Genomic DNA, 13,775 nt, shown 5'->3' on the forward strand with positions numbered 1-13,775 from the left:
ATTGTAGGATATTAATTGGCCTAGTTTCATGTTGATCATATTCTTTATGTTGTCATGGTTCTGTCATAATTCTTTTAGTTCTATGTTTTAATAGTTTTGGTGCTCATTACCAGTACTGTTGCTTCTCCATTCCCGAGTTAGTCCATCTCCTGATTGAATTTCATTGTCAGGCAGTCTTTTCAAGTTACAGGTACTGCATGCATTCTTTGGGTTCTTATACACTTCATTGATTCAAAATATTTGTCTTTTGTTTTTATATTACTTGAAGGATTACTTGGCTAGGTATAAAATTTATCAGTCACACTTTTTTCCCCCTCAACTTTGTAAATGTTGTTCCATAATCTCCTAGTGTTTGATTGGCTGGATTTCTTTGTCCAATGTTTTCTCTTTTTATTAGGAAGAATTTGTGAGTATTATAGTCTCTGAGTTTCAATGCTTGCTGTTTTCTTTAATGCTTGAGAATGTCTGTCTATTGCTTTCGTTCCTGAAAAATAACTTGTTTGGGAACACTTTCATTAGAACTTTGTGGTCACTGTTTTATTATTTTGGGACATCTAGTGTTACTGTAGAAAAGTCTGATTTTTCTCCCTACCTCCTTGAAGGCACTTTTTTTTTTTCAAATCTAAAATGCCTGAGAGTTTTCTTCTTTATTTTTGAAATTCAGTAATATAAACAAGGTATATCTAAGTGTCACTTATAATCATTTTTCCCTAAATTATAATATGCCCTTAGTTCTTCTAAGAACATTTTCCTTGTTTATTACCATGAATACTTTTTTTTGGTCAAATTATTAGATCCTCTACTTCATGACGCCAGTTTTTTTAATACTGAATTTTCTTTTGTTGTTCGTATGTATTCTAATTGCTTTGATTTGTCTTTTACCTTTGCATTTACTGTGATCATCTGAAGCCTTTCTTTTTGTCAATAATTCTGTTTTCTCCAGTGTCTGTCCTGTTTTTGATATTTTAAATGAATTAATTGGTTAAGTCATTGTGTTATATAGGCTCTAAGTTTCTTTAGCACTACAAACGCATTTTCATCTTATTCTGCTTCTTCTTGCTTTTGAGCTTGTTTATTATAAGGTTGTATTGTTTTCAAGTTCTTCATTATGATGAAGTTGTTGGGAATTTTCTTTAGTTTTTATTGGGTTATGTATCCTTCCAGAATGGGTTCTTTGCCACTTGTGTGCCCTATTCATTTCTTCATTTTGTGTTCTTTCTTGCTTTTTGTTCCCTGTATGTGTGTGTTTCTTTTTGTCAGGCTGTAATACATATGCATACATGTTTCTTCTTGATGTGGGAGAACTTCTATGTGGTGCTGATGGGAAATATTTTTAATACTCCACTCTCCTTACCCAAGTTTGTTTTTCTCCTGAGCCCTAGTTTGAAAGCTGTATATTGTTGGAGTGGAGGGAAAGAGAAGGGAAAAGTGGTGATTCAGAGAGCCAAATGGGGCAATGTGGCTTTTAGGCTCTGCTCTCTTGAAGTACCAAGTATTTCACTCTTGGGTCTGCCCAACTGCTTATGAATAAAATTCCTTTGCCTTGTATGGGGACATCATTCGACCTCAGACCTCTCATTTCTCTTTGTTCTGAGCCCTAGAATGTGACCTGACCTTCTCCTTCCCAAAGCAAGGAGATGGTTAAAACTCACTCTTGAAATTTTTTTGTTGACTTTTCCTTGTGTTGCTTATTCATTCCTCGGCTCTACTTTTTGCCATTTTGGAGTGTATTTCTGGTAAGTGTTTAGGATTTTGTAAACTATTTCCCTACAACCTCTTATTGGAGGTAGGGGTAGAGTTGGGAATGACCATCAATCACATATAACTTTGTTTCTTATTTTGACTATCAGTCTTCAAAATTTATGGCAGGCCCTTTTATATTTGGTTGCTGCTAATAAAATGTTGGCCTTTTTGTTTTATTTTTTATTTTTATTTTTTGTTTTATTAGATTTTGAAGAAGGGAGATTCTAAAATGTAGTTCAGGTTTTCTCAGTGTCAGCACAAATAACATTTTGGGTTGGATAATTATTTGTTGTGAGGGGGTTGCCCTGTGCAGAGTAGGATATTTAACAACATCCCTGGCTTCTACCCACTAGATGCCAGTAGCATTCCCCTAGTTAAGACAACCAAAAACATCTTCAGACATTGCCAAATATTCCCTGGGGAGAAAAGCACCCTGGTTTGAGAGCCACTGATCAATGTTGTTCATTCATCTTTACTCCTCCTAAATACCTACATCCAAATTTTAAATAGATCTTTCTCATGTAGTCTGGCAAGTATTATATCAAAGATAAATACCAGTTTTAGAATAAAGCATTAATATACTCTTACATTTCAACTTAAGAGGCAAATATTAACAGTAGGATTTGTAAACTATTTATTGGAATAAAAATCAATGAATTTTTAAAAATTACAAAATGATTTATGTATGTTAGATATTTTACTGAGTGAAAAAATTCATGCTTTTTTAAATGACTTATTGTTTGGAGTAGTGATACAGTAGATTTAATTTTCCCCCTCATTAATTAAAATCATGTTTTAGCCAAGAAAGTGAACAAAATTCTTATTGGCAATTCAGTTGTTTCCCGTTTTGGAGACTGACACTCTCCAGTTCTAAGTTAAATAATTGTCATGGTAAAGTAATTTCCCTGAAAAGAACGGACATTGATTCAGCCCCTGTTACTCACAAATCCTATTTGAGTCAAATTGGAAAACTATTAAGCTTTTGGGAAAAAAATCAATAGGTATCAGGAAACCATTAGATCTTGTGGCCCTTGCTATATCTTGCATGAGTAATCACTGTAAACAGCTGACAGGTATTTCATTGTTGACACCGAGTGATGCTTGGGGGACCACATCTTGGCAGAGTAGGTGGACAGCTTTAGACGTTGGAATGAGTTTGATTATCCTTGTTTTTCTCCTACACTCATTCTTTTAGACAGCCCTGTCACTAACTGGGCCTGTGATGCTTTCAAAAATCAAATACTTTCCTTGCTGTCAGTTTTCTTTTTCTTGCGTTGTGGCATACTAATCAGGGTATGTGGTTTGGTACTGAACCAATTTCTGTCAAAAGCAAGTTTTAATTTATTATTTAGGAAAAATTTTTCCTAAGACCCAGGTTTTATACAGTACTAAATAAATAGTGTGAGGAATAATTAGTAATGCCATAGAGTATATAATTTTACTTCTAGTTCTACACAGATTACAAGTAAATTTTTTTTGGGCAAGTGATTTTGGAATTATCTATGTTTTGTTTTCCTTTTCCTTTAGAGTGATAATTCACTATTTATGATTGAATGATTATCATATTAAAGAGGTGAGAAAATAAAAATCAGTCTGATGTGCACAAAGCCATACTGCTCAAATTGTTTGATAATATCTGTTAATTAAATTATTATGGCATCGGTAGAAGAATGATGTTTTGTTTATATGTGGTTAGAATTGGTCTTTTTTAAAGGAAATAACAAGAGAGATGGAAATGGAATGGGTATAAATAGTAAAAGGTTCTATCACTGTAACTCCCTTTTGCTATAAATAGTGAAAGCTTCTATCACTATAATTTCCATAAGAAGATATATGTGTTTACCTGTTAATTTTATCAGGGCAAATTAAAACATGGATAGAATCATGTTTCTCAGTGTGAAGAAATATTTTTATTTGATGAATATTATATATTTTCAGGTGCAGTGGCTTCTATGTTTTGGGTTGATGCTGAATTAGGGAGTGATATTTACCTTGATGGTAAGTTAAAAAACAGTTTTCTTTTATCTTTCTTGTTTTTTGTTTTTTTTTTTATTTTTTTCTGAGACGGAGTCTCACTTTGTTGCCCAGACTGGAGTGCATGGAGTGCAGTGGCATGATCTCGGCTCACTGCAACCTTTACCTCCTGGGTTCAAGTGATTCTCGTGCCTCAGCCTCCCGAGTAGCTGGGACTACAGGCGTGCACCATCGTACCTGGCTAATTTTTGGATTTTTAGTAGAGACGGGGTTTCGCCATGTTGGCCTGACTGGTCTTGAACCCCTGACTTCAGGTGATCCGCCAGCCTCGGCCTCCCAAAGTGCTGGGATTACAGGCGTGAGCCACCACACCCTGCCTCTTTTGTTTTTTAGTAAAATCTTTATGGTTAAGCTTATTGTTGTTCATTCATATTATAACTTTAATTCCTTGCATTGTTGTTCTTTTCACACTTTAGTTTAATGATGAAATCTTTGTTCATATAGATTAAAAAACCCCAGACAGTGGTGGAACTCGATGTCACTCAACTTCCAATTTAGTGCTTCCACTAAGGTTTTCTTTAAAAAAAAAATGCTTTGTAGGTTTTCTGTATCCTCTGTTGTTTGATTTATGCCCTTAATATAATGTTAGAGCCTTTTATTTTAATCCTCCAGGCAATATGAGGATCATATTTTTGCTTTTATTTTCTCTTGAAGATAAGAATTAAACACTCCTCCCTTACTTTATTTACCTGAACACTTTTGGGCAGTGATATGCCTTCATTTAAAATACATTAGAAACTTTCTTAGTTAAGCGACTATGTTTTCTCCCTTTCTCTTTCCCTTTTTCACCTTTTTAAAAACCAGTCGAAATTTTCTTACTTTTTCAAAAGTAATAATCATTAAGAAATTTAAGAATTATTAAGCTGGGCCCCATCATTGAGCTCTAATATATGTGGTGGGTAACTGGTTGAATTCCTTAGGCATAATTAAACTCATTCTTTTGTTATCAGCATATATTCAGAGATTGCAAAATGAATTGGTAGTTTGGAAACTTAAGCATATGTTATGTAAAACATTTATGAGTTGGATTTGGATTTGATGAGAGATGTTAGGAATGATACCTTAAGATGTCTCATTCTTTCGGCAATAATTTAAATCTTAAGAAAAGTCTTGATTTTGATTATGTGAAAATAAACTAGAAATAACCTGTCTTATGTACTTATCACATTTGACTATGTTATGAAATTTGACTTATATTTTGGATTGTAAGCTTTTTCAGTGCCAAGGAAATCTTATTTTCTTATTTATTTAATTTAAAATTTTTATTTGTTTTATATCTTCTCTAGTGCCTTAAAATAGTGCTAGCCACTCAGGAAATGCATTGACTTATTACTGGAATTTAATTAAATGGCAGCACTGGCAAGAGAAAAAAACAGTACATTGTTTTATTGAGTAGTATTTGTGAACTGAAATAGGTTAGTTTTAATTTTCATTCTGAAGTATGGTTGCACAAATATTAATAAACATTCTTTTTAAAAAGTGATTAAAATGTTTTTTCCTTTGTAGGTATCATAACTATAGTGGATTCAAAATATGGATTAAAAGTAAGTTGAAAGATTGCTATGAGTGGCTCATTATTGAGAGCTGGGAATATGGGGATTGATTGTTTAATTTTCTTTATGTTTGTATCTGAAATTTTCTTTAACAAAAACCTTTCTCAAAAAGATATCCTGAACAATAGGTGAAATTTGTGTTTTAATTATTAGTTTGTGTTAAATATTTCTTTTCTATTACTCTGAGTTTGATTTGGTGATAAAATTTGGAATTATAATTTGTAATAAGCATATGGGGTTAGGATAGAGTTTGGTATGTATAACTCTTCACAAGGATTCAACCCCAATATTGGTAAGTTTTTCTGTTCCATAGAAGAAGCTGAGCTTGATAAAGCATCTGAGATCTTATTTTTCTTGTTAAATTACTATTAAACACACACTGGAAATGAGTTTTTAAAAAATATTGAAGACCTAGGTGATGGGTTAATAGGTGCAGGAAACCACCATGGCACCCGTTTACCTATGTAACAAACCTGCACATCCTGAGCATGTACCCTGGAACTTAAAATTTAAAAAGTACATATTGAAGAAAATCAGGATATACACATAGGATTAGTAAGAAGACTCTCTCCATTAAAAGGCATCTTGCATCGCTTCTTGGTCTTTTGGCTAAGATCAAGTGTAAAAGACATCCTGCTATGAATGTTTTTGTTAACTTCTAAGGTCCTAGAATGCATTTAAATGAGGTTTAATTTATAAAATGCATTTAGTAAGATCTTTAAAAGTATGTTGTTACATACAGTAAAATGATGTTTCTCAGCTTCCCAAGTGAAATACCACTAAAGGCAGAAGAGAATGAAATCATCCCACCCACTGACCCGTTCCCAATCTGAGCATATGGATAGGGCCCAAAGCAGTAATTTCTTAGAAGTTTAAATTCAGTGTTTAAAAATTAGTGTCTGTTTTGTATCCAACCTCATATCTGAACGTGTTAATTTTTTTTTTTTTTTTGAGACAGAGTCTCACTCTGTTGCCCAGGCTGGAGTGCAGTGGCACCATCTTGGCTCACTGCAACCTCCACCTCCCAGGTTCAAGCGATTCCCTTGTCTCAGCCTCCTGAGTATCGGATTACAGGTGCACACCACCATGCCCAGCTAATTTTGTATTTTTAGTAGAGACAGGATTTTACCATGTTGACCAGCCTGGTCATGAACTCCTGACCTCAAGTGATCCACCCGCCTCGGCCTCCCAAAGTGCTGGGATTACAGGCATGAGCCACCACGCCCGGCCTGAACTTGTTAATGTTTAAGTTTGCTTTTTTTTCCCAAATCTTTGCTGAAATTGTGCTCTAAGGGGATATGTCAGGTTTGTCAAATAGCTACCAATACCTCTTCACTGGGCCTTCTCTCCCTCGTTGATAGAGTGCCCTAATTTGAAAAGTTTGGAAGAAAACTCCTTTTTTAGAGTTTAAAATCTCAATTTATGAATTTATGAATATAATTTAAGAATCCAAGAATGATCCCAAATACAGTATTACAGTTTCACGCAGAAAAATTCCAATGACTGTTGAAAATCATATTTCTTGCAAAATGCTTATGGAGGTAGCAAAAAAGCCCCAAATTATTCATTTTGAATGTTTATTATAGGCATGTTTGAATCTACCTCTTCCATAAATTTATTACAAAATTTGATATACCTATGTGACAGATAACTGCTAAGACATTTTGTTTTTTTTTTTATTTTGATAGACTGAAAATGCCATGCTAAAAGTCAAACTGTTTATGTATTTTATGATTATAGGAATAATTTTATATGTATAGTTGAGTATGGAGAAGAGTTAAATAGAATCTATTATCAGCATGATGGAGGCCAAAAAAACAAAGCAACATTCTGAATAATGCAAACACAGTAAACGTTTAACCTCCTGCTACCTTGATAAAACCTCTTAAATTATTAAATCAATATACCTACACAAAACTGACACACTGTCAGGATAATGGAAACTTTAGATTTTCTAAGTCGGATGCCAGATAAATAACTTTGCTTTGATATAAAGAATTTTCCAACTTGTCCAATTCCTCTGGTTGCAAAGCTTGACCTCAGTAGCTGCTTGTGATTCAGAGAATTCTGAGGCAGTACAAGTAATGACACTTGGATAATGGGCAGCAATTTAAGAATGTCATGCTTCACAGAGCCAGCCCATCACAAGTAAAGCTGAGAAATGGTACCCTGTGGCCAGCCAGCCAAATTGAAACTGAAGTGGTAATTGATATCATGGGGTATCATGCTAATGGGATTGTCACCCATTGATCTGAAATATTCATTTTTTAATCATAGGCAAAGAATTGGACAACTTAAAATGACAGCTCTCTATTCTGAGGACTTGACACCCAGGCTACTGACATTGTTCTTTTCGGTTCTACAAATGTGACAGCATTTAATGCAATAGAAGCAATGAATGAAGTTACCCAGAGAAGGTCAAGTGAGAGGTTTCTTCTTGGTTCCTCTGTTATATTGCACAATCTGTTGAAACAATTCAGTCAGAAAACAGTTAGCTTGGAAAAGGCCAGAACAATAAATAGACTGACATTATGCAATAATTTTTTAAAAACTAAAATAGTGTTACATCTGTAACCAATCCATTTGAAAGAAATAGTTCCTGCTGCTGCTTTTTAAAAATGACACCAGACATCTTTGACACTAGATTTATTTCCACTCTGGTCAACAGCAGTGTTCTTTCATAGCCAGTGGGTTTTAAGATAGTTTTTTCTTTTCTTTCTTTCTCTTTTTTCGGTCCGGCTTCTTTCTTTATTTCTGCAGAAAAGGACACCCTATAGCCCTTCATGAAGTTAGGTCTACAGTGGTGTTATTTCAGAGAGTTCCTTTGTTTCTCTCCCTAACCCCCCCAGCTTTATTGAGGTACAATTGACAAGTAAAAATTATATATATTTAAGGTATACAATGTGTGAATTACATTATAAAACAATTGAGCTAGTTAACCTATCCATCACCTCACATTGCTATTTTTTTGAGGGGGGTGGTAAGAACAGTTAAGATCTATGTTTTAGCAGATTCAAGTATACAATAGAATTAACTACAGTCATCATGCTGTAATTAGCTCTCCATGACTTATGCATCTTGTATAACAAACTTTGTATGCTTTGACCAACATCTCACACCGCTCCCCTTTAATTTCCTTTGTTTCTTGTGGTAAGTTAAATTGGGGTTTTGATCCTTAGCCTTTTGAATATGTTGGATTAATTAGTATCAAAATTATTTTTGTCTTTTTTGATATATAAGCAAAAGCCATAGTTGTTAAGCAGAGATAAGGAATACTTTGGACATCTATGTAATATAAAATATTTAAAAAATATTTTGCAAAAATTTTTTCTTCATTTACTTATACAGGTGGAATAGAATGCCAAAATTTCCATTTTGTTTTATTTTATAAATGAAAGTCATCTGACTTAATGACCAAATGGTATATAATGTATTATTGGAGAATGTTCTTTTGAATAGAAGACATTGATTTTGTACTTTTTGCAGAGTTTGACTTGGGAAGGTAGGAAGTCACATGAGGGAAGTGCAGGGCTGATGTCTAGAGAAAATAAATGTTAAGATGCACTTATTTTTTAAATGTTTGTATGGCTTTCCTATGGGCATAGAAGAGGACATTTATCTCTTCTGCTATAATGGTATATGATTACATATAATTTTAATACAGCTGTAAATATTGGCAGGCTCTCATTTGGGGTGATTTTCATTTATTTTTATATTTGATACTTTCTGACTGCCTGGAAGTAGTAAAACGTTAGTCTACCACTGTTAGCTTTGAGTGAAGAATTCTAATATTTTGGAGAGGTAAATGCATTTAAAACATTGCACATTACCTTGTGAAACTAACATTGTATTAGTTACATTTAGGCATGGAAATGCAAAAACAAATCTGTAATTCTTCTGTCATATCATTTTTATGCCTCACAAACTCATAGCCAAATAACCCCAATTTCATATGTTAAAAAAGCTTTCATAAGGTCAATAATATAATATCTTGAAAAATATTTCAGTTTAAAAAGAATTTTCAGTACTATAGGATCATTCAGAGGCAGATGCCTTGCCAAAAATATATCATTGTTAAGTAGATTTACTGCTTAATGGGAAGAGATTTGTTGCTGCATGTTAGATGGCATTTTTCATGTAACATCTTTTATGTATCCCCACAACAGGAGGTGTTAATTACAATTCATTCAACAAATATTTCTTGAGCCTGTGTGCCAGGCACCATTCCAAGGTCTGTTAGCAGCCTCATTCTCTAGAGGCAGAGTATATAACAATAGGACTTGTTGTAGCCTCAGGCCAAGATGAATTATGAAAAAAATATTAAACTTGGTCTTTTGGCATGGAATGATTTTTGATACAATACTTGTCAAGTTCTGTGACTTCCATAATTGCAGAGTGGGTCTGCAGTTGAATTGAACAAGATTTTGCCTGAAGTAGAAGTATCATTGCCATGATTTTATTTCAGTTTTGTTTTCCTCAAAATAGAATTTGCTGAACTTTTAGAAGGAAAAAATGTTTCTTCTATAGACCTAATCAAGCTTGTTAAATAAAATTATTACCTGCTTGCTCTGAGGTTCCAAACTATTCAGATACCCCTAATGATCATCTCCCCATGTATTATGAAACTGGTTTGGCTCTGATATATGATTATTGACATTTGTGTAGCATTGTACACAGACTGATTTTATGTGGCATAAAAGATTTCACAAAGACTTTAAAATTATGTCATTTTACTTGATGGGTGTGTGTTCAATTAAAAAAAAAAGTCCCTGTGATTGTATATAAAATATAGTATCCTGTGATGATGAGGGTGTTAGATTTAGTTTCTTCCTTTATAAATGAAAATAGCCATCTCCCATAATTATTATGAAAGCTAAATGAGAAAAATGTATATAATTTATAAAGTTAGATTCAAGGATTTAATTCATTTGTAAAGTTGGCTTCAAATAGAGAGTATTACTATAATCTAGTTGCCTCTAAACCTCAGTAGCCAGCTTTTTATTGTGACAGGGAACCTCTATTGAGGTTTGAGGTAATGAGGGTAAAAGTGTAATTTCCCAGAGAAGAAGCTTGTGATGTTGATGACGTTAGGGATGTAAACAGGATTATGAGGGGGAAAAAAAAAACAGACAACAAAGCTTGCCTCCAGAGAGATGAAAACTACCACTTGGGCTCTAAGTCAGTGTCAAAATATTTTTTGGAGTTAGCCTGACTCTGGAGAGGTCAGTAAAATAAACAGTTGCACTGAGAGGCCAGATTAGCAAGTATGGGTTTCTAAATGATAAACTGCTTTTAGGCTAGAATCAGGGCTGAATCAGCCTTCCCACCACTTATTTGTTTCTAGGGTGTTTGAAAGGCCTAGTACTGAGTTCACGTGGTGCATGATTGTGGGCTGGGGTGTAGGGAAGTATTTTAGATTCTAATATGGGGGTTTGGTGTGAAGGGAAGTATATTAGATTCTAAGAAACTATATTTCAGTGGTTATCCTTTTTTAAAAATAAGTAATAATGAATATTTAGAACCAGAACAGTTTTGTAAGAAGGAAAATACCTAAAATCTGAACTGTAATCTTCTATGTTTTTATGACGTTATGTGAATCAAAGGGGTTTTCCTTTTAAGTAAAAGAAAAGGTCAGGAGTATGAAATCCTAAGCCCTCTTCCTCCCCCTATAAAACCCCACAGGTTCACTTGTAGAAAAAAATTGCAAATGGGGAAGAAAAATGCTTTTAGCTAGAAAAGTTAGTTTTGGATTTGTGTATTCAGTAACAGAACATGTTGAAGTTTTTATTAGATGCAAGAAAATGTCTCTAAAGTAAAATCCTTTGTGTTGACATTAGATTTTTTATTGTATTATAGTAACTTTATTCAAACTTTTTTTTGTTTAGCATTTAGCAGAAGAGAAACCTGATGGCCTTATCAATGAAGCTACTAGGTATTCATATTTAAAGTATATATTGATTGCTGGCTAATTGTAAAGAGAAAAATCACTAAGATGAAAACCAAAAACAAACTAAGAAATTTTAAAACATAGTCAACGAAAATTTATTTTCTTTTTTTCCCTTAGTTGAATTATTGCTATCTATTTATAATGATCTGATAACTAAACTTTTACTTAAAGTCATTTTTGTCGTAGCATAAAGTGAATGCTGAACACAGGATTCTGTAATTTTGAGGAACTCGGGAAATATTAACATTTAAAAATATTTTCTTGTTATACAATTTCTTTGGGATTGAAGATTTTATATATATATATATATGTATAATAATAATAATTATTATTATTATTTTTTGAGACAGAATCTCACTCTGTCACCCAGGCTGAAGTGCAGGCTCACTGCAACCTCCGCCTCCCAGGTTCAAGCGATTCTCCTGCCTCAGCCTCCCAAGTAGCTGGGATTACAGGCACCCGCCACCATGCCCAGCTAATTTTTGCATTTTTTTTTAAATTTTTTTATTTTTATTTTTATTTTTTTTAGTAGAGATGGGGTTTCACCATGTTGGCCAGGCTGGTCTCGAGCTCCTGACCTCAGGTGATCCACCCGCCTCGGCCTCCCAAAGTGCTGGGATTACAGGCATGAATCCACTGTGCCTGGCTGAACTTAAGTATTTTTGTAACTTTTTTCCTTATGAAAATATGGTTATTATAGAAAATATAAATAAGCCAAATAGAAAATAGCCAGATTGGATTTGTGATGTACATACTGTTGAAACCTGCTCTTTCAGTGAACTAAAGTGAATTCAGTTTTGAGAATTTAGTTGTATTCTTTGAGATAAAGCATAAGACCCTGAATAATTGAGGAAAATTGAAAGAATTTCCAGTTTTACTATCCTGTTAATAGAAAATAGAGCTTCTGATTATTATCATCTACTTTGTTATCTAGCATTCAGTCAACTGGATTCTTTACAGAGATAATATACAGTATATTTATAGTGATAAAGAAGACATTTGGGCAATATCCTGATATATCTTCTGAAGTATAGCTTATTTTTTTTAAGAAATGGAGTCTTGCTATGTTGCCCAGGTTGGACTTGAACTCCTGGGCTTAAGGGATCCTCCCTCCTCAGCCTCCTAAGTAGCCAGGACTACAGGTGTGCTCTACCATGCCCAGCTCTGAAGTATAGTTTTAAAAAACCTGTTTAATACAGTTTTTAGTATTAAGTGAAGTTATTCTATTTCTTTGAAAATTTTGGTAAATATTACAGTATTTTAGTAGGTAAACTCTTCTTCTTTTTACCATATTGGATATCTGAATTTTATTCTTTTCTTCACAAAGAAAATTATGAGTTTAAAATCATCCTTTTGATTGTAAACTTTTTGAGACTTATCTTTGTAGCACAAGAGTAGCAAGTAACAGAACTTAGTAAATACTTTGCGAATGGGTAATGTGAAATCTGAACTTGCATAGTAATGAACACAATTCATCCACATTGAACAATTAGCGGATTAGGAGTAAACTGAGTCACTCCTATAGAGCACTGTATAATTCTTAACTGATATATTGATCTACATGAGGCGTTTTTATTTATTTTTAATTTGTTAGCATTCCTCTTTTGATGTATTAATCTGCATGCGTGTATATTATTTAAAGTTTCTTAACATTTCTCTGTTTGCTATTTTAGGCAAGTTGCTTTGGCAGATGCCATTCTCATTAATAAAACAGACTTGGTTCCAGAAGAAGATGTAAAGAAATTAAGAGCGACAATTAGGTACGAAATGATAAGTGTGTTAAGTGCCTACAGATCCATGTTGTATACACAGAATATTTTTTACTCTGATTGTTGCCCTGTAGAAACTTAAGGTATAAGGTTGAGCTGCTTCAAGAACGTTAGGGAATCACATATATTGTTGATGGCTAATTGTTATATAAATGGTAATACATAAAATTAGTCCCCAGTGCTTGCAGAATATAGTTCACAGTTAATAGACTGATATTCAGGGTCTTCGCACTCCATCTTTCTTTTCCTGTCTTCTCTTTGACTCTTTCCTAATGTCAATCTTCCCTAACTTTACCCAGGATGGTTAATTCACTTTCCCATGGATGCATCCTGTCAGTTCCTGTCTTTACTCATAATGTATTCTCACTCTGCCAATCCCTGAGTTCTTTCTTGTTCTGTTTTTTTTTTTTTTTTTTAATTTATTCTATACAGCCTATTCTGTCTCTCCCCCCTTCCTATGTGAAGTCTTCCCTGACTCAAGTGGTCTCAGTTTTCCCTGAACTCTTGTTGACTTCATCTTCCTTAACTGTCAACCATGCCTTGTCTTCCAGCTTGCTTTAATATCTTCTTTGTCCATAGCCAAGGCTGATCAGCATAGGACAATCAGGACAATATGAATGATGCTCAAATATGTGCTAACAGTCATTTTGCTGACTGTTCTGGAGACTCCCATTCCTTTTGAAAACAAAGATGGACTTTTCAAATGAGGTTATAGTTCAGGGGCTTTGT

At 33.8% G+C, this 13,775-nt stretch overlaps 1 protein-coding gene across 14 annotated transcripts in view; it reads left to right on the forward strand.

Moving 5' to 3' along the window:
• Positions 1-13,775, forward strand: part of ZNG1B (Zn regulated GTPase metalloprotein activator 1B) — a 58,514-nt gene that overhangs the window by 11,767 nt on the left and 32,972 nt on the right. For 8 of the 14 annotated variants that reach the window (NR_138474.1, NR_138473.1, XR_244814.2 and 5 more), the window contains 4 exons: positions 3,682-3,741; positions 5,284-5,321; positions 11,216-11,262; positions 12,951-13,037. Coding sequence is in view for 9 of the 14 variants with exons in the window: in NM_001330339.1 (NP_001317268.1) it covers positions 3,682-3,741; positions 5,284-5,321; positions 11,216-11,262; positions 12,951-13,037 (232 nt within the window). In the remaining 5 variants the exon portion in view is untranslated. Of the gene's footprint in view, positions 1-3,681; positions 3,742-5,283; positions 5,322-7,607; positions 7,753-11,215; positions 11,263-12,950; positions 13,038-13,775 lie in introns of all 14 variants that reach the window. The other 6 variants (XR_427073.2, XR_007069657.1, NM_001330337.1 and 3 more) reach the window with 2 other exon arrangements.

This window comes from Homo sapiens, chromosome 2 (genome assembly GCF_000001405.40).
Source record: "Homo sapiens chromosome 2, GRCh38.p14 Primary Assembly".
In the NCBI taxonomy this organism is placed as follows: Eukaryota; Metazoa; Chordata; class Mammalia; order Primates; family Hominidae; genus Homo; species Homo sapiens.